Here is a 22010-nt window from a genome sequence, read left to right on the forward strand (position 1 = left end):
ATATTCTGTCCACTGGTTGTGGATAATGTGTCATGGAGCACTTCTCAACCAACTGCAAGAACTGGTGTCACACAGACCAAGTTCTTTGATCACAGTGCCATTTAGTTAGAAGTTGATTTTTTCTTTTTTTCTTTTTTTTTTTTGAGACGGAGTATTGCTCTTGTTGCCCAGGCTGGAGTACACTGGCACAATCTTGGCTCACTGTGACCACTGCCTCCCGGTTCAAGTGATTCTCCTGCCTCAGCCTCCCGAGTAGCTGGAACTACAGGTGTGTGCCACCATGCCCGGCTAATTTTGTATTTTTAGTAGAGACGAGGTTTTGGCATGTTGGCCAGGCTGGTCTCGAACTCCTGACCTCAGGTGATCTGCCCGCCTCGGCCTCCCAAAGTGCTGGGATTACAGGCATGAGCCACCTCATGCAGTCAATTTTTTTTTCTAGAGCAACTAGGAAAAAAAAAAAACAAACCCAAAGCCATGTGCTTGGAAATTGAAAAACACATTTTAAAATAATATGTGAGTCAAAGGAAGAAACAAAGAAAATTTAAAATATCTTTGGGCTAACTTAAAGTGACAATACTATCAGAACTTGCTAGATACAGTTGAAGTAGTTCCAGAGGGTTAGCCTTAAATGTTTACATTTGAAAAAAGGGTAGAAAAATCAATGAACCAAATTTATAACTTAAGAAGTTAGGGCCAGGCGTGGTGGCTCATGCCTGTAATCCCAGCACTTTGGGAGGCCAAGGCGGGTGGAGCACCTGGCGTCAGCAGTTCGAGACCCGCCTGGTCAACATGCCAAAACCCCATCTCTACTAAAAATACAAAAAATTTGCCGGGTGTGGGGCAAATGCCTGTAAATCTCAGCTACTCGGGAGGTTGAGGCACGAGAATCACTTGAACCCAGGAGGTGGAGGTTGCAGTGAGCTGAGATTGCACTACTGCACTCCAGCCTGGGCGACAGAGCAAGACTCTCTCTCTCAAAACAAAAAACAAACAACAACAACAACAACAACAAAACACAGAGAATGTACTCTAAGACCATAGAAAAAATAATAAAGATAAAAGCAAAAGCAGAATTTAATGAACTAGAAAAGAGACACAGAGTAATACAGGGCAATAATGCCTACATGTCTGCTTCTTGTAAGACCAATGAACCTAATGAGCTTTTACCAAGACAAGGAAAAACGGGAGAAGGTACAAGTAAACAACAAACACTAGGAATGAAAAAGCAGACATAATTACAGATGTTGCAAATGTATAAACTATAACATGAACAACTTTATGCTAGTCAGACAAAATGGACAAATTCCTAGAAAAAAAAATTTAACAGCTTACAGTAGCCCAAGCAGGTGCAGGGAAAATAAAAATAGGTTTAGATGTGTCTGCGTGTACATAGAACACCTCAAAAGACACAGACAAGACCCTGGATGCAGCCGTTCCCTGAAGAGAGGCCTAGGCAGCTGGGAGACCAGGGCAGCAGGGACACTCAGACCTTGCATCACTCTGGAGTTTGCACTTCCTGAATTGTGAAGCATGCACATGTCTCACTTATGCAACAGTGAATCCAAACGTGCCTGTATACAAGGAAAGGCCTCACCTGGCTGCGCCGTGGAGGCTGGCCTGGCGTGTGGAGCAGGCAGAACATTAGCAAGCTACCGAGCAGGTGCAGGTATGAACATCAGCTGACGCTGGCTCTTTGCTTTCTTTTTAATCTTGACAAATTTGGTAGGTGAAAAGGCATCATTTTTGTTCTCGTTTGCATCTCTTTGATTACCAGCAGGCAGAACTCTTTTCCTATCTTCATTGGCCATCTGTATCTCTTCTTTTATGAATTTCCTGTTCATAGTCTTTGTTCATTAGTGGTGACTAGTGGTAAGTTAGCAATAAGAACTGTTTGCATTCAAGTCTAGACTGAGAAGGAAATTAAAAAATCTGCCCATGTATTCTCACAATAAATGACTACTGACTAGCCTGAGATAATTGTACCCACTGCCCAGTCACAGGCATTAAGCCTAGGATGATTCATTTCAGACTTGTCCCTGACCTTCCTCATACCCTTTCCAGAAGGGCCCCTTGAGCTGCTATGATACTCCTAAATCACTATCCCATTACCCAAATGATGGAGAGCCAATCAAAAGCTTAGACCAGGACGCTTTCCCAAATTATGTCCCAATACCTTCACAATGATCACTTTATATACAATCTCACTGAATGCTCAGCAACACACGAGAGCAATGTTTAACTGAGGGCAACACTGAGGCTCAAGGAGGGCAAGTGACTTGATTGCTGAGGTCACCTGCTAGGTGCAAGAGCTGAGAATTAATCCCAAGGCTACCTGGCTCAAAAAGCCTAAGCTCATCTACTATACTTGAGGCGAAATCATGAAAGTGTGTTTTTACCTTGCCCAGACCCTGCACACTGCATCAAGGTCCTGAGTTTCAAGCAACAGAAATCAACTCTGGTTAAATTCAATCACAAAGGAGTTCTTGGGCAGCAGATCTGGAAATGGAGAGAGAACTAGAGAACTAGGCTCAGAAAAGCAGCAGGAATAGAGGCTGCACCACTGCAAACACAGCCAAGGTTATACTGCAGGGACCTGCTGGTTGGGACACCCACCCTGGGCACTGTTGCATGTCATCACTGGACATTAGCCACCACTGCTGGTTTTGTGACTCAACTGCCACCACCATGACTAATCCCTCACTGTCCCTCAAGAGTCAAAGTCCCTGAAGGCAGAATGGGTTTGGCCAAACCTAGGCTTCATCGCCATCCCCTAGTTTCCAGAGAGCAAGGGGAGGGAATATATCCATTCCCCTGTGGCAGGCACTGCCAGTTGTCCCCCAACATCCATGTTCTCCATCTGCCTTACTAATGAGACCCTGCGCTCAGCTAAGGAGAGTTATTCCCCGCTTCCCAGCAGACCATGGGACTACGTTATGGCTAAGGAGACAGTGGCCGAGTGCACTCCTGTTCATCGTTCTCTTTCAAGCTTGCTCTTGTTCTACTGACTATGGGCGGAGCACACCTCCCACCCACTGACTCTGGGCTTGCTCACGTGTTGATGGGATGGGGGAAGAAGAGGCTTTAAGAGGCTTCTGTGACTCTGCTCACTCCTCTTGGACTCCTGACCTCCGCCTACGAAGAGACTTCCCCTGGCAGCTGCTTCTCCCTCCTGGGTCCTGGAACGACAGGCTTGAGAACAGATCTGAATCCCATCTTGCAGCTGACCCAGACCCATGTGTGAGAAATAATAATTGCTGTTATAGCTACTGAGCTGCTGGTGCTGTTTGTTCCCTAGGACAAGATGATGGGTGTGAAGATGGAAATGGAAATATTGAATGGGCCTAGAAGTTAAGATGTCAAGTGCCATTTTGCCTTTCCCCTATGACCTCTTTCTTCCTACCTGGAGGAGTGGATGCAATGACTAGAGCAGCAACCGTCATCTCACAACCAAGAGGCAATCTTGAGAAATGGAAGACACCCACTGAGGGGCCCTGGGTCCTGGATCCTTACAAAGCCACTGCAGTGGTCATGGACAGCATGAGAAGGAAGTACACCACAGGCCCCCAACCCCATCTTCAGGTTTTCTTAGGTAGAAACTAGGGTCCACCTGCCTCTTACTAAGATATACACAATGGGGAGACTTTTAACACAAAAAAAGGTATGAAGATGGTCAGAAGCCAAAAAAGCAACAAAATGTTCATGATATGCCGTATGTGGGGTTTACTCACTACACTGCTTTTCCACCGAGTTAGCATAATCACTATAACTCAACCCATTGAAAAAATGACAAAACAGATTCTGAGATTCTCTTCCTATTTCTGTTAGCTAAAAAAGCAGCCTTTGAATTGTTTATAAGTGAATTCAAGAGATAAAAATAAACCCAGATAATTCAGAATGTACTGAGTACAACACATATGCCTTCTATGTGATAAGCTCCCAGCATTATTTATTCAAAGAAAACTTGCCTTGTTGCAAAAATATAAAAAAACTTAAAAAAAAAAAACAAGTAATTACACAACACACCACCTCCTACAACACCAGATTCCTTTTCTTTCCTTTGTAACCTGACCAGAAGAAAAACAAAACATTGTTCAAATTGCTGAGACCCACAAAGTTCAATTAGAGCATAAAAAATGCTCTCCCAAAATATAGCTACTAGCAGGGAAATGAGCAGGCTAAGCCTCCTGGTGAACCTGGACATTGGGCACAAGTAACAGGCACATTTAGACACCAACGACCAGATTCCACATGACTGAATCCAGAAACCCTGCCCCTTCCCATTCCCTTGGAGATCCAGGGGGACGCCATCAATTGCTCACTCCTTCTCCTTACACATACAGTTAGGGGTGCTATACTATACAGGGGAAGGCGTGAGGAAGTCACACATGCTTTGGTGTTCAAGAAGCTCATAAAGCCATTAGGGAAAGAGCAACATGCCAGAAAGCAGTTGTCTCTTCTGGCTACAGAGGTTGCAAAAGACGTCTGCAAGGGTCAGTGAGGGCCCAAAGGAGTAGTAACCAAGGCCCTGAAGCCTGCCTGGGAGCTGAGGTGGGCAGTATCAGCCTCTTCTCAATAATCAGTTCCTAAGGTTCCATCCGAGAAAGTAGAAAACCACAGAGGCCATTCTCATGGGTACTTTAAGCAGTACATCTGTTGGCAAAACACAAATGTTGTTACACAAATACTAAGCCACAGATTGCAAAGGCACCTGACAGCCTTTAAAATTCATTTCTCTTGTTTCGCAAAGCTGCACTGGGAAACTGTGCTGTTAAATTCTACACTCATAAAGGAGGTATGTTTTAAAAGAGGGGCAAATATGTGGGTGCTATTTAGACTCTCATTGATTTGTTCCATGTTTTCAGATAACTACACACCCCTCCGCCCCCGCCAAAGTAACTCAATCTCCACATATTTGCCTTTATATGTACCTTCTAACTCATGACTATGGCTTTGATTATCTCATAAACAATATTGTTCCTGTTAGCCATGGAGAAGCTAAGGAGCCAACAGCAGAGCAGGCTGCATGTTCTTCTGTCCCTCTTATAAGACAAAACCTTAGAGCAATGTCCCACTGCAGAATTTATTTGTTAATTCACTCAATAAATTAAAATATGCATGATTCTAGGCACTGGGGATATATTGAGGAAGAGGCAAAAAAAAAAATCTCTGTCCTCATGGGACTCAGATTCTATAGGGGTGGGGAGAGGGAGGGAGGGGAAGGGAGTGGGAGAGCACAAACAAAACCAAGCAGTAACACAGCTTGTGGCAGATGGTGACAAGTCCTATGCTAGGCAGGGGGAACTGGTGGGGCAGAGGCAGGCTGCCTGACTTACAGACATGGGTGTGCTCGGGGAAGGCCACATTGGGAAGGTGACACTTGAGCAGACATGTGTGATACCTGGGACAGAGGGCAGAGGAGAGGTCAAGGCCTTGAGGCAGGGGCATACTTGGAGGGTCCAGGGAGGAGCCAGGAGGCCAGTGAGGCCGCAGTGCATGAGTGGTGGGAGAGTGGCAAGAGAGGTGATCCTGTTGGGCTGTGACTCTGAGCAAGCAGGGACCCACTGGAGGGTTCTGAACAGAAGAGCACAATATTGCAGGACTAAACAAAGAACCAGGGGGCAAGGGCAGAGGCAGGGAAGCTGGACACCTGGACCAGGGTGGGGGCCATGGAGGCAGGGGAACTCATGAGATTTTGTATCCATCTTGCAGGTGGAGTAACAGTATTTGTGAACAAATGAGGTAACCAGCGCCAGGTTTCTGGCCTGAGGAGCAGGAGTTGGAGTTGCTGTTTACTGGAAAGGAGAAGACCAGGGAAAGAGAAGGTCTAGGGAGGATAAGGAGTTCCCGTGACCCAGTCAGCCTGGAGACATAAATTTGGGAGCCATGAGGCTGGACGGAATCACTTCGGGAGTGAGGGTGGAGAAGAAAAGCCTGAACCTGAGGCCTTCCAACATCACATGCGAAACAGAAAAGACCGAGGAGGACAGACATTCACACACTCACCTAGGACTTCCTGAGGACCCACAGACACCAGGCACTGTTCTAGGAGCTTGAGCTACATCTGTGAATCAAGGAGACAATCCTGTCCTGTGGAGCTTCTGCTCCAGCAGGGGTGACAGCTAAGATAAGCACAGTCAGTCATGTATTCAGCTAGAAAGAGACAAAAGCTGTGGTTTGCACTGAGAAGGTGCACATCAGTGCAGAGACTCAAGGGAGGGAAAGGATTGTCTCGTATGGGTATTGGGGTTAACTGACGACGACAGCTCTGGGAAAAGAAGTGACAAGCAGCTCCCAGATTTAACAACATGAAGGTCATCACTGGAGACCTCATGGAGCAGCTTGGCAGAGCTGTGGCAGCAAAGGAACAACTGGAGAAGGTTGAAGAGGGTGTGGAGACAGGGACTGGAGTCTTGCTGGTAAAGGAAAACAGAGATGCTAGACAGGTGGGGGGTTGGGAGCAGCTTTTGTCAAGGTGGGAGAAGTAGCAACAAGTTTCTAGGGCAGGCGAGGGAGGAATCTCTGATGGGGGAGAGTGCAGTAGAGGACTGGAGAGATGCCTTAGAACAGGAGTGAGGGCCTGGGACAGGCGCTCCGTGACAGCATGAGGGAGGCAGAGCGAAGGAGTAGACGCTGGCCTGTAGACACTCTCTTGAGCTTGCTTCTGTGCTCTCTGGGAACTAAGATATCAGCTGCAAGGAGGTGTGACAGCTGATGAGGAGGGTGGGAGGGGCTAGGAGAGACCGGGGAACTGCAGTATGCAGGTGGGCTTGGCGGCAAGAAGTTTACCTGGGGTAGACATGAACTTAAAGGGGGAATCAATGAAGGAGTCACATTCAGCTTCAGGACGGAGCAGGCATGGGGCAGACATGACTGAATTTCATGAGGCTGGGGCTTTGTCGACTGAATATAACAAAGCAAGAAAGTGCCGAAGGGCTGAGGTAGTGTGCCAGGGAGTAACGACGTCTGACTGGCACTGAAGCTACAAAGGAGAGGAATAAGGATACGAAGGAGGTGAAGTCTGAGAAAAGATGGAGCCACTGATGGATTCTAAGTGCCTGTGAGGTCAAAGGAGTATTGGAGTTGGGTATTAGAGGCAGTGAAAAGGAAAAGGATCTCCTTTTGCAGATCACAAAAAAGATAAAATGACCAGAGCTAAACAACTTTTACAGCACTATCCACTGTAAAAGTTGTTTGAGAAAAAATAAAATGTAGCCAGCCTTCAGAGCATATATGCATCTTTATTTTATTTTATTTATTGAGACCAAGTCTCACTCTGTCGCCCAGGCTGGAGTGCAGTGGCACAGTCTCAATTCACTGCAACCTCCGCCTCTGGGGTTCAAGCGATTCTCCTGCCTCAGCCTCCTGAGTAGCTGTGATTACAGGCACCCGCCACCACACCCGGCTAATTTTTATACTTTTAGTAGAGACGGTGTTTCACCATGTTGGCCAGGCTGGTCTTGAACCCCTGACCTCAGGTGATCTGCCCGCCTTGGCCTCCCAAAGTGCTGGGATTACAGGTGTGAGCCACCACACCCAGCCCAGAGCATATGCATCTTTAAAAAGTTGTCTTCGGCCAGGCACGGTGGCTCACACCTGTAATCCCGGCACTTTGGGAGGCAGAGGCAGGCGGATCACCTGAGGTCAGGAGTTTGAGACCAGTCTGACTAGCATGGTGAAACCCCGTCTCTACTAAAATAAAAAAAATTAGCCAGGCGTGGTGGTGCATGCCTGTAATCCTGGCTACTTGGGAGGCTGAGGCAGGAGAATCGCTTGAACCCGGGAATGCGGAGGTTGCAGTGAGCCGAGATCACACCATTGCACTCCAGCCTGGGCAACAAGAGTGAAACTCCGTCTCAAACAAAACAAACAAACAAAAAGTTGTCTTCAAGAGCATAATCAAAGATACTTTCACTTCTTAATGTTTTGTTTCCATGTCTCGTCACAGAACATGGTACAGACAAATATTAGAATAGACTCAAGGGATCACTTGATTTTAACTACAGAAACTTTCCGGTGAATCATGAGCACTGTCTTGTTTCCAGCTGCTGAAGTATATGGGCACCAGACAAGAGCACAGCGCTGTCACTCAAAGCCAGGAGTAATATGGCTGTTACCATGAGGACTACTTAGCAGAAGATAAGCATCTCATTATGTCTACAGTGAACTAAACTATTGTTGCCAATGGTATATGGATTAGGACCGACTGCCACTGCCCATCTGCTTATAGCTTAGAATCTGGTGAATGCAAACAACTGTTTTGGGGGGACTTCTGGCCCTTCCTTGGGCTCTGCTATCCTGGAAATGGACAGGCTTCTACAGGGGTTCGATGGTAGCCCCGAATAGTTAGGTGTATGTCTTAACCCCCAGACCCTGTGGCTCTGACCTTATTTGGAAGGTCTTTGCTTCTGTAATTAAGTGAAGGATCTTGATATGAGATCATCCTGGATTTAGGGTGGGCCTAATACAGTGACAAGCATCCAGAGAAGAATACGGGGACACAGAGAAGGCCATGTGAAGACACAAGCAGAGAATGGAGCAATGCAACTGCAAGCCAAGGAAAGTCTAGGACTGCCAGGCAGCCACCAAAAGCTGGAAGAGGCAAGGAAGGATCCATGCTAGAGGCTCTGGGGGGAATGGAGCCCTGCAACATCTTGATTTCAGACCCCTGGCTTCCTGCACTGTGCAAGAATACAGTTAGGGGTACTTTATTCTGACTACTCCATAAACTTAAGCTCTAATTCTCGCTCAGCTTCTGAGCTTTAACAAAGGGTCCGTGCAACTTCTACCGTTCCCGTTCCCCGTCTTTACCAAAGAGGAAGCATTTACTCAAAGCCCACCTCCTGCAACAGCTCTAGATGCCGCTTCCCCCCTCCACACAAGGAGTCTGCTCCTCCAGGTCCCCATTTCCTCCTTCTCACGCTCCCCTCTCTCCTGGGCCATTCCCAGAAGGATGTAAACATGCTCTCATATTCACCCACGTGAAAAACACCCTCATCCCCCTCTACCCCACTCCTATTTTTCTGGTCACCATCACAACAAAACTTCTTAAAGAGAGTTGTCTATACCCAATCTCCACTCCCTCACCTTCCACTCACTCCAATCTGGCTTCTGTCCCCATCACCTCTAATTCAGTTCACCATGTGACAGGTAGGGTTTTTGCTAGTTTTAGACATAATGGATCTTGTTATTCCTGGGCTTTAAAGCCTTCACCAGAGGATGGCCAACTGCCTACATGTAATTGCCACTTGACCCTTCAAACCTCAAAGAAACCGAAGTACAGACATATGAAAGGGAAGAAATTTCTAACAGAGGCAATAGCAGGAGAGGACCTCTGAACGGATAAGATACACTCAGCAAATTTCTAGATGCTGGAAGTAGGCAAGAACATGTTGACTAATGGAACAGAGAGGAATGTACTACAAGAGAGCTGTAGAGCAGATGAGAGCCTGTATACCTGTCAGAGCCCCAAAGAAGCTCTCAGACCAGACCAGACCAGACCAGACCAGACCAGACGAGAGGAGGGGCAAGCAGTGCTGTCATGTGTGCAACACCTGGGGGCTGCTGACTGCCAGATCCCGACCCACAAGCTTTGGGGCAGGGCACCTTCAATAAGCTCCCAGGTGAGGCTGATGCTGTTGGGGCTGGTGAGCAGAGCAAACTTGGAGTGGCAAGGTGCCACTTCTTCCCTCAGGCAAGAAATCAATGGGTCTTTTCTAAATCAACAGCTAGAACCTTCCCTTCCCCGGCCCCCACCCCACCCACCCCAAAGGCTCTTGATGTGGCTGGCAGCAGCCCAGGTGATGCCTACCTTTTCCCAGTCTCTGAGGGTCCATGGGGCAAGAGCTGACCCCTGCCTCGCCTCCACAGAACTTCTCCAAACCACCCTTCAGAGACAGACCCCGCAGGCAACGGGCCACTCCACCACAGCAGAGAAGGGGCAGCGCAGCAGCTACCCAGGTCCTCCCCCCATCCCTGGCGGCTCAAGAACCAGCCCCATGGAAGAGAGACCAAGTCTGTCCTTAGAGGAAACAAATAATATTCTCAGAGAAATCTTAGAATACAGAATAGTCATAAAATCAGAACAGAAACACCCATAAACAAGAAATAAACAGATGATAAAAGAAAAGTATCAGGCAGGGCATGGTGGCTCATCTCTGGTGACACCACACCAGGCGTGGTGGCCCAGCACTTTGGGGGGCAGAGGTGGGAGGATCACTTGAGCCCAGGAGTTCAAGACCAGCCTAGACAACACAGACACACACCAGCCCATGTCTACAAAAAATTTAAAAATTAGCCAGGCATAGTGGCACGTGCTTGTAGTCCTAGCTACGCAGGAGGCTGAGGCAGGAAGACCACTTGAGCCCAGGAGTTCGAGTCTGCAGTGAGCTATGTATGATGGCACCACTGCACTCCAGCCTAGGTGACACAGTGAGACTCTGTCTCAAAAAAAAAAAAAAAAGTATCCATTAAAATATTTTCACCCTTTAAAAATCAGGTTGTCTTTTTATTACCGAGTTATAGGAATTCTTCTGAATACAAATCCTTTGTCAGATATGACTTTCTATTTTTTCTATGACTGGTCTCAACTGTTTTCTTGGTGGACTTGTCTTTTCATTTTCTTTGAGACAGGGTCTCACTCAGTCACCCAGGCTGGGGTGCGGTGGCGCGACCTCAGCTCACTGCAGCCTTGACCTCCTTGGGATCAAGCAATCCTCCTGCCTCTGCTTCCCGAGTAGCTGGGACTATGGACTACGGGTGCACGCCACCATGGTTGGCTAATTTTTTGTATCTTTTGTAGAGATGGGATTTCACTGTTGCCCAGGCTGGTCTTGAACTCCTGAGCTCAAGCAATCCATCTGCCTTGTACTCCCAAAGTGCTGGGATTACAAGCATGAGCCACAGCTCTCAGCCTATTTTCTTTTGTTTTTTCTTTTTCTTTTTTTTTTTAAGAGACACTGTCTCACTATATTGCCTATGTTGGCCTAGAACTCCTGGGCTCAAGTGATCCTCCTGCCTCAGCCTCTCAAGTACCCAGTAGTGACTACAGGCAAGCCTCACCACGCCCAGCTCTGTCTTTTCATTTTCTTAATGGTATCTTTTGAGGACCAAAAGTTTTAAATTTTAATGAAGTCCAATTTATTTTTTCTTTTAATAGCTATTGCTTCATGTATCCTAATAAATCTTTTTTTGGCCTGGCACGGTGGCTCATACCTGTAATCCCAGCACTTTGGGAGGCCGAGGCAGGCAGATCACTTGAGGTCAGGAGTTTGAGACCAGCCTGGCCAACATGGCAAAACCCTGCCTCTACTAAAAATACAAAAATTAGCCAGGCATGGTGGCGCACACCTGTAATCCCAGCTACTTGGAAGGCTGAGGCATGGGAATCGCTTGAACTCGGGAGGCAGAGGTTGCAGTGAGCTGAGATCGCACCACTGCACTCCAGCCTGGGCAACAGAGTGAAATTGTGTTTAAAAAAAACCTTATTCTTTGGACTGCACAGATATTCTCCTATGTTTTCTTGCAGAAGCTTTATATTTTTAGCTTTTAAAACATTTAGGTCTATAATCTCTCATGAATTAATTTTTATGTATGGTGTGAAGTAGTGTCATGGGTTGGACTATGTCCCCCAAAAAAGATATGTTGAAGTCCTAACCCTCAGTACCTCACACTGAGACCTTAGTTGGAAACAGCGTTGTTGCAGGTGTAATTAGTTAAGGTGAGGTCACACTGGAGTAGGGCAGGCCCCAATCCAATATTACTGTTGTTCTTACAAGAAGGAGGCCATGTAAAGACAGAGACATACATGGAGAATGCTGTGTGATGAGGAAGACAGATATTGAAGTAATGCAGCTGCAAATCAAAGAATGCCAAAGGTTGCCAACCACTGGAAGCTAGGAAGAGGCAAGGAAGGACTCCCCTACAGGTTTCACAGAGACCATGGCCCTGATGACAGTTGATTTTGGACTTCTAGACTCTGGAATTATGAGACAGCAAATTTCTGTGGTTTTGTTTTGAGACGGAGTCTCACTCTGTCACCCAGGCTGGAGTGCAGTGGTGCAATCTTGGCTCAGTGCAACCTCCCAGGTTCATGCAATTCTCCTGCCTCAGCCTCCTGGCTAGCTGGGATTATATGTGTGCACCACTACACCTGACTAAGTTTTTTGTATTTTTAGTAGAGACAAAGTTTCACCACGTTGGCCAGGCTAGTCTTGCACTCCTGACCTCAGGTGATCTGCCCGACTCGGCCTCCCAAAGGCCGGGATTACAGGCGTCAGCCACCGCACCCAGCCAAATTTCTGTGGTTTTAAGCCACCTAGTTTGTGGCAACTCTAAGAAACTAATATTTAGGGTAAGGTCAAGGTTCATTTTTGTCTGGTATGGATGTCATTTGCCATCATCCGGCACGTGCTAAAAGACTTTCCTTTCCCGCACCGGACTGTTCTGGTGCCTCTGTTAAAAATCAAATGACTATAAAGTCACATCACATAAGCCCCTTAATTTTGTTCTCTTTCAAGTTTACTTTGGATGTTCTAGGTCCTTTGCATTTCCATATACGTTTTATTTATTTATTTATTTGAGGCAAAGTCTCACTCTGTTGCCCAGGCGGGCGTGCAGTGGCATGATCTTGGCTCACTGCAACCTCCACCTCCGGGTTCAAGTGATTCTCATGCCTCAGCCTCCCAAGTAGCTGGGATTACAGGTGTGTGCCACCATGTCTGGCTAATTTTTGTATTTTTTGTAGAGACGGGGTTTCGTCATGTTAGCCAGGCTGGTCTCAAATTCCTGACCTCAAGTCATCTGTCTGCCTCAGCCTCCCAAAGTGCTGGTTTACAGGCATAAGCCACCGTGCCCAGCTTCCATATACATTTTACAATCAATTTCTACAAAAAAAACCCTGCAGTTATGACTGGGGTTATGAATCTACAGTTCAATGAAGGGAGAACTGACACTGTAAAGACACTTAGTCTTTCAGCTGATGAACATGGTACAACATTCCATTTATTTAGGTCTTTAATTTCTTTCAGCAACATTTTCAGTTTCAGCGTGTAAATCTTGTACATTTCTTATTAAATTATTCCTAACGATATTGCATTTGAAATTTCATTTCTGATTAGTTTTTGAATGATCTCGTACCCTGAGACCTTGCTGAATTCACTTTTTAGTTCTAGCAGGTTCTGATAGTTTCTTTCACATTTTCGACATTACCTACAAATAGAAACAGTTTTACTTCCTTTAAATATTAATGCCTCTTATGTTTTTTCTTGCCTCATTATACTGGCTATGACCTCTAGTATAATGTTGAATAGAAGTGGTTAGAGTGGACATCTTTGCCTTTTTCCTGATTTTCGGGGTAACATGTTCAATATTTCACAATTAAGTACAATCTATCTGTAGCTCTTTCATACATGCACTTCCTCTATTTCTAATCTGCTGAATTTTTATCATGAAAGGGCACTGAATTTTGTCAGATGCGTTTTCTGTATTTATTGAATAGACTATATGGTTTTTCTCCTTTATTATCTTTTTTTTTTTTTTTTTTTTTTTTTGATACTGGGTCTCACTGTTGCCCAGGCTAGAATGCATTGGCGTGATCTCAGCTTACTGCAACCTCCGCCTCTTGGTTTCAAGGATTCACCTGCCTCAGCCTCCCGAATAGCTGGGACTAAAGGTGCGTGCCACCCTGCCCGGCTAATTTTTCTATTTTTAGTAGAGACAGGATTTCACTATGTTGGCCAGGCTGCTCTCAAACTCCTGGCCTCAAGTGATCTGTCCACCTCGGCTTCTGAAAGTGCTGGGATTACAGGTGTGAGCCACCGCACCCGGCCTCCTTTATTATCTTAATGTGGTGAATTACACCAACTGATTTTTGAATGTTGAAGCACACTCGTGTTTCTGCGAAAAGCCTCTTGGTTGTAATATGCAGGCGCACCTCATTTGATTGTGCTTTGCTTTACTGTACTTCGCAGATACTGAGTTTTTAACAAATTGAAGGTGTGTGGCAACCCTGCATCAAGCAAGTTTACCAGTGCCATTTTTCCAATAGCATGTGCTTACTTCATGTCTCTGTCACATTTTGGTAATTTTCACAATGTTTCAAATTTCTCATTATTATATTTGTTATGGTGATCTGTGATCAATGCTCTCTGATGTTACTACTATCATCATTTTGCGGCACCACAAACTGCACCCATAAAAGATGGCAAACTTGGCCGGGCGGGGTGGCTCACGCCTGTAATCCCAGCACTTTGGGAGGCTGAGCCGGGCAGATCACCTGAGGTCAGGAGTTGGAGACCAGCCTGGCCAACATGGTGAAACCCCGTCTCTACTAAAAATACAAAAAACAAGCTGGGCGTGCTGGCACATGCCTGTAGTCCCAGCTACTCGGGAGGCTGAGGCAGGAGAATCGCTTGAATCCAGGAGGCAGAGACTGCAGTGAGCCGAGATTGCATCACTGCACTCCAGCCTGGGTGATGGAGTGAGACTCCATCTCAAAAAATAAAAAAAATAAAAAAGGTGGCAAACTTGGCCAGGCGGCAGTGGCTTACGCCTGTAATCCCCGCACTTTGGGAGGCCAAGGCGGGTGGATCACTTGAGGTCAGGAATTCGAGACCAGCCTGGCCAACATGGCAAACCCTGTCTCTACTAAAAAATATAAAAATTAGCTGGGTATGGTGGCGCACGCTTGTAATACCAGCTACTCGGGAGGTTGAGGCAGGAGAATTGCTTGAGCCCAGGAGGCAGAGGTTGCAGTGAACTGAGATCATGCCACTGCATGCCAGCCTGGGTGACAGAGCAAGACTGTCTCAAAAAAAAAAAAGAAAAAGAAAAAGAAAAGATGGCAAAACTTAAGTGATAAATGTGTATATTCTGACTACTCCACCAATCAGCTGTTCCCCCATCTCTCTCTCTCTCCTTGGGCCTCCCTATTCCCTTGGACAAGACAGTACTGAAATTAGGCCAATTAATAACCCTACAATGGCCTCTAAGCATTCAAGTAAAAGGAAGAGTCATATGTCTTTCTCTTTAAACCAAAAACCAAATGATCAGGCTTAGTGAGAGGCATGTTGAAAGCCGAGAAGCCAAAAGCTAGGCCTCTTGTACCAAAGTTAGCCAAGTTGTGAATCAAAGTTCTTGAAGGAAACTAAAAGTGCTACTCCAGTGAACACACAAATGATATGAAAGTGAAATAGCCTTATTACTAATAAACGTTAAGGAAGTTTTAATGGTCTGGATAAAAGATCAAATCAAACACAACATTTCCTTAAGGCAAAGCCTAATCTAGTGCAAGGCCCTAACTCTCTTCAATTCTATGAAGGCTGAGAGAGGTGAGGAAGCTGCAAAGTGTATTGTTTAATTTTTAAATATTTGGGGCTTTCTCTGGATCTTCCATTATTTCTTTTTTTTCCCCCCACTCACTCTGTTGTCCGGGTAGGAGTACAGTGGCACAACCACAGCTCACTGCAGCTTCAAACTCTTAGGTTCAAGCAGTCCCTCCACCTCAGCTTCCTGAGTAGCTGGGACTACAGGCGAGCGCCGCCATGCCCAGCTATTTATCGTAATATTGGTATTATAATTTTGTAATTTTATGTCTATTACAAGATAAAGCAAATAAGTAACTATGTTAACATTAGTAAGACCCAACATTTTCAGTGTAAGGAAAAGATATATACAGATCAAATAAAAGTTGGCCAGGCATGGTGGCTCACACCTGTAATCCCAGCACTTTGGGAAATCGAGATGGGAGGATCACTTGAGGCCAGGAGTTCGAGACCAGCCTGGGCAACGCAACGAGACCCCCCATCTCTACAAAAAATTTTTAAAAATTAGCTGGGCATGGTGATATGCACCTGTAGTCTTAGCTACTCGGGAGGCTGAGGGAGGAGGATTGTTTGAAGCCTAGGCATTTGAAGCTGCAGTGAATTAGGATTGTACCACTGCACCACTCCAGCCTGGGCAATAGAGCAAGACCCTGCCTCAAAAAAAAGAAAAAAAAAAAAAAAAGTTAAGGAAGAACCCTGTAATGTTAAATTGCCATAGAAGACATCATTATGTATTTATGACTTAAAAAAAAAATGGAGGGCACAGTGGCTCACATCTGTAATCCCAGCACTTTGGTTTTTTTATTTTTCTTTTGTGAAAATATTTACCAGCAGTTTGCCCTGACAGATGTAATCCCAGCACTTTGGGAGGCTGAGGTGGGAGGATCGCTTGAGCTCAGTTCGAAACCAGCTTGGGCAACATAGTGAGACCTTGTCTCTACAAAAAAATTAAAAATAAAAAATAAAAACTGAATATATTTTCTAGCGATGTCCTCTGAAAGTGCCTAGATATAATGTTACCCCAGTAAGAATCAGCACATTTAGTACCCACATGTTGGATTCTAAATACCGTTGCCACTATAAGGAACCAGAGCTCCTTGGAATCAGTTCTAGGACACGAAAAGCACATATTGGGATGGAATATCTTGTGCCAGAAAACAAGAAATTGCTCAAAGACTAATTAATGAGGGTATGCCAGGAGAATATAGGAACCAACATGAAGGGACTCTTGTTGACCCAATTTGAATTGTAAAACATTTAATAAATAAATCCCTATGAGTCCATATTGACATGAAAGAGAAAAGGAAACACAACAGCAAATATTTTGCCACCATTTGAGGTGATTATTCTACCAACTCCTTACTCTGAAATGTAATAAAGGCAAAGATTAAGCATCTATACTGTCTTTTTAGGAGGAAATATAATGCCTCCTTATTTGATGAGGGAAAATTCATTACAGAGGAATGACAGTACTAAATGTAGAAGAGGTGACAATTAAAAAAACTATCATTTTGCAACCCCCAATGTAATAATGGTTTCAGGCAAGGATCAATGAATGCTAAAATAATTATGCAAATGGCTGTTGGGCAATAGGATATTTGTATGGTGCCAAAGCATCACATCACAGATTATATATCAATTACCACAGGAAAACTGTATGTCTACAATGGGGAGATTTGGCAGTCACCTCCTTCTTTAATCAAGTGTTAAAACGTAGCATCACAAACCACAGGGTAACCAACCATTAAGTGCCTGGTGAGCTGATGCTATATGAAGTACACAGTACTGCCTATGAAATATTCTTGCCCAAAATGTTTAACCTGAACATGCCTGTAGACCTAACTTCTTGTCTACAAGTAATATATATGGACAAACAAGTTAAATTATATCACAAGAAAAGAGAGACATCTAAAATGTGGGCCAGCTAGTCGTGGTGGCACAAGCCTGTAGTCCCAGCTACCTGGGAGGCTGAGGCAGGAGGATTACTTGAGGCCAGGAGTTCAAGGCCAGCCTAGGCAACATAGTGACACGCCATCTCTAAAAATATGTATCTTAAAATGTGGGCCCTTCTAGATGACAATTGGGCTGACTGCTTCAAAAAGTCAGTATCACAAGTGAAGGAGAGGTGGGTAGGCTGTTCTTGTTAAAAGAGACAAAGGGGCTGGGCATGGTGGCTCACGCCTATAATCCTAGAACTTTGGGAGGCCGAGGCGGGCAGATCACTTGAGGTCAGGAGTTCAAAACCAGCCTGGCCAACATGGTTTAGTAGAAACCCTGTCTCTACTAAAAATACAAAAAAGTTAGCTGGGCGTGGTGGTGCGTACCTGTAATCCCAGCTATTTGGGAGGCTGAGGCAGGAGAATCGCTTGAACCTGGAAGGCGGAGGTTGCAGTGAGCTGAGATCACACCACTGCACTCCAGCCTGGGAGACAGCGAGACTCTGTCTCAAAATAAAATAAATAAATAAATAAGAGACAAAGGAAGCATATTCAAATGCAATGTATAAATCTTAATTGCTTTGGAGCCCCTCAACAGCGATAAGAGACATTTGGAGGAAATCTGAATTTAAAGTGGGTGCCTGATAACATTAGAGAATTATTGTTAACTTTTAAAGATGTGATCGGGGTATTGTGCTTATATTGGAAAATGTCCTTATTTTTAGGAGATGTATACTGAAGTACTTAGGGGTGAAATGTCGTGACATCTGTGAGTTCCTTTTAAATGGTGAGCAAAAAGGTATAAAAATGCACCCTATCTATACAGACCAGGAAAATACGCCAAAATGTTAACAATTGTCTAATCTAGGCAGTAGGCACACAGGCTTCACAGTAAGTTAAAAAAAAAAAAAAAAAGGTTTGGCTGAAATAAAGAATTTAACAGAAGGGATAGAAAATAAAGTCAGGAGGCTGGGTGCGGTGGCTCACACCACTTTGGGAGGCTGAGGCGGGCGGATCACTTGAGGTCAGGAGTTCGAGACCAGCCTGGCAACATGGTGAAACCCCATCTCTATTAAAAATACAAAAATTAGCCGGGCGTGGTGGTGCAGGTCTGTAATCCCAGCTACGTGGGAGGCAGAGGCAGAATTGCTTGAACCTGGAAGGCAGAGGTTGCAGTGAGCCGAGATCAGGCTACTGCACTCCAGCCTGGGTGACAGAGCAAGACTCTGCCTCAAAAAAAAAGAAAAAAGGAAAAAGAAAATAAATGCAGGAGATCTTCCAAAATTCAGAGCACCCCCCACCGCCCAATAAATGAAAAATATGAGAGAAGACAGAAGACCAATATAAGAGGTCCAAAGTTAAACAGTAGTCCCCATAGAGAAAATGAAAGCATGTAAATTAGTAATTTTTTTTTAAAAAAAAGAGTTGACAAAAGTATTCAGATTGAATGACCACAGTACAACGAGTGAACAAGACACAACTCTAGACATATTCTCATGAGATTTCAGGACACTAAAAATAAGGAGACGAAATCCTAAAAACTTCCAGGGAAGGAAGAGAAAAGAAGGGCACCTACAAAAGAACCATAATAAGATTGGCATCAGGCATTTGTTGCATTTGTTACTCTGCATACTAGAAGAGATGCCTCCAAAGTTAGGAGAAAAAATGATTTTCAACTTGGAACCCTATACTCAGCCAATCAAGTGTAAGAGTAGAAGAAAGGTATTTCAGGCATGCAGTGACTCAGAAGACCTATCTGTTACAATGCTTTTGGTTACAAGTAACAGAAAAGAAAACTGAAGCTGGCTCATTCAGTAAGAAAGTCCATCCTATCTGAGTCCCTAGCTCAGGTAGGACAGGCCCCAGCCACAGTGCAATCACCAGCTAAGCAACGGCATCAAGACCCAGGTTCTTCCCGTTTCTCTGCTCCGCCTTCCTTGGTGAGCAGGCTTTATCCTCAGGCTTTGTCCCTCAGTCTGAGGTTACAGAAGAGCCCCCAGCAACACCTTTCTCACTTACTCCAGTGAGAGAAAAAGAGAAAGTCTTCCCTGAACGTGCCATGGAAGTCCTTCCCTTCAGTCTGAGTGAACCAACTTAGATCGTATGTCCATCCTTGACCAGTAACAGTTGCCAAAGGAATGCAATGTGTGGAATGACTTAAGGATCCTTTCTGAAGTTGGGAATAAGGTAGAAAGGTGAATAATATCAGGATTCTGTTAGGAATGGGCAAAGAAGAAATGGATATGGGGTAGGTGACAACGGTATCCACTACAGTTTACTCCCCATGCACTCTATCTGAGCACATTATTTAAGGATGCAGTCCAGAAAACGAGGGAGTAAACCATGTGAAAGGAAGATATGGGTTTTAAGACACGGGCTCCAACCCAAGAGCCCAGTGAGGAGAAGGTCCAGGTACAGCTGTATATGCAACCTTAAATCAAAGAGCAGATACTTGCCCAGATTGCAGAAGGGCAGAGGCCTTCCAAGAGAAAGGTCTTCAGTGGGGAAAAAGCCGAATCGTACGAAATAAACAGCACTGCTAATAGCATTTTACAACATAATCAAGGAGGAATAGTAAACAAAATAAAAAGGCAACTAGAAATGGTGGGCAAAACAAAGAGCTATATAAGCAAGCCAAGGTTTGAATATGAAGTAGATTAAATCCTAGCAAGGATTTTAAGCAGGTGACAGAGTCTAAGAAAAGGGAATCCATTTGACCTTGATTGGTCATTCTCCTTTGAGTGGTCCAGATCTGTAAAGAAGGAAATGTAATCCTGGGCACATTCATTATTTGGTCTCGCCAAGAACAATACTCACATGTGTAATAATGTAAATAATGTTATTTTCGACTTTAGAATTAAGCTACAACTTGGCTGTGGTTGCAGGGCAGAACACACATGTTAACAAATGCAAGAATGGGTATGGTCAAGTACAGCTTTTAAGACGCAGAAGTTAAGGAGGGAAAGTGGAAGGAAAAGTAGGGTTATTAATATCCTTATCTTAAACAGAGGGGAACTGACATATGGACTAAAATACTGTTTAAAATTTACAGAGAAATGTGGGCTTGGCATGGTAGCTCACACCTGTAATCCCAGCACTTTGGGAGGCCAAGGCAGGCAGATCACCTGAGGTCAGGAGTTTAAGACCAGCCTGGCCAACATGGTGAAACCCCGCCTCTACTAAAAATACAAAAATTAGCCCAGTGCACTGGTGTGCGCCTGTAGTCCCAGCTACTCAGGAGGCTGAGGCACGAGAATTGCTTGAACCCGGGAGGCAGAGGTTTCAGTGAGCCGAGATCACATCACTGCACTCCAGCCTGGGCGACAGAGTGAGACTCCATCTCAAAAAAAAAATTACAGAGAAATGTGAATATGAATTTCAACATGGGGAGGTAACGTAAGCTAAGTCATTCTCTTTCATTTCAGGGAGTTAACACAGTTCCCTAAAGTTGGCAAATCAAGAAAGATGTATAAGCATATGATTTAATTTTGGAGGTAACCATCAAAGGAACTAAAATCAGAAACAGTTAAAAGCTGTCATGTCTGAGTCAGGGAAGGGAAGGGGAAGGGGTAGACTGCTGTTTTTACGATGACCTCTTTTGTTATATCTAACTTGTTGCCGAGTAGTTGCAATATTTTGATAAAAATTCAAAACCCAAACCACCTTACCCTTCATGTTTTCTATCGCTCTGATGTTAACATTCAAAATCCTGCATGATCCAGCCCCTGTTGACCTCTCTGATGGCCCGGACCCTTTGCCACTCTCCCCTAACCCCTCGTTCAGCTCCTGCCACACAGGACTAAGCTCTTGCCAGACTGAGGGCCTTCACACATGCTCTTCTCCATCTGGAAAGCCTTTTTCCTCTCTGCACCTTGCCCACTTCTGTTCAACCCTCGGTTCCCTGCATCGGCGTTGCCTCCTTGGGGAAGGCAGGCTGAGCTGTTCCCCCATTGTACAGTCATGAGTCGCTCAACAACAGGGATATGTTCTGAGAAATGTGTCATTGGGCGATTTATTTGTGCTAACATCAGAGAGTGTTCTTACACAAATCTAGATGGTGTAGCATACTACACACCTAGGCTATACGGTATATAGCCTATTGCTCCTGGGCTATAAAACTGTACAGCATGGTACTATACTGAATACTGTAGATCACTGGAACACAATGGTAAGTATTTGTATATCTAAACATAGAAAAGGTACAGTAAAAATATGGCATTCTAATCTTATGGGAACACCACTGTATGTGTGCTCTGTTGTCGGTTGAAACGTTGTTGTGCAGCACGTGACTGTAGAGGACTGGAGTGGCTCCCACCTCCATACTTGTCCTTCTGAACACTTAAGTACTGGTACAATTATCTAAGATCTGTCTCTGCCGCTAAAGTCAAGCTCCATGAGGACAGGTACCAAATCTGTCTAGGTTACCCCATCCCTGCCTAACACAGGGCCTGAGGTACTATAGATACCTTACTTACTCAATTGTGGAATGAATTGATGGACTATAGCCTGATGTACTGCAAATCCTTCAGCATGCAGCAGGAATGGAACTTGGTGTTTAAACTAAACTATAATGGCTAGATGAAAAAGAGACTAAATGTGAAATAATTCCATCATTCAGAATTGAGTGTTGGTATAACAAACAGACCCATGAAATATGTAGCGTTTCACAAGGATATCAGTGAGGAAGTTGTTCAATATGTCATCCGAAGTCCCGTTGCATAATGATACTTGCACACGCATGCTTATAGCAGCA

At 44.9% G+C, this 22010-nt stretch overlaps 1 protein-coding gene across 17 annotated transcripts in view; it reads right to left on the reverse strand.

Moving 5' to 3' along the window:
* The window catches only part of MECP2 (methyl-CpG binding protein 2), a 76145-nt gene that overhangs the window by 33774 nt on the left and 20361 nt on the right, over positions 1-22010 (reverse strand). The window contains exons 3-5 of one of the 17 annotated variants that reach the window (NM_001369391.2): positions 3053-3176; positions 2397-2496; positions 1595-1833 (exon numbers count right to left, since the gene is read on the reverse strand). The exons of 10 other annotated variants lie outside the window; for them this stretch is intronic. The gene's annotated coding sequence lies outside the window, so the exon portion shown is untranslated. Of the gene's footprint in view, positions 1-1594; positions 1909-2396; positions 2497-3052; positions 3221-22010 lie in introns of those variants that run through there. 6 more of the 17 variants (XM_047442118.1, XM_024452383.2, XM_047442117.1 and 3 more) reach the window with 6 other exon arrangements.

Source organism: Homo sapiens, chromosome X, assembly GCF_000001405.40.
Source record: "Homo sapiens chromosome X, GRCh38.p14 Primary Assembly".
NCBI lineage: Eukaryota > Metazoa > Chordata > Mammalia > Primates > Hominidae > Homo > Homo sapiens.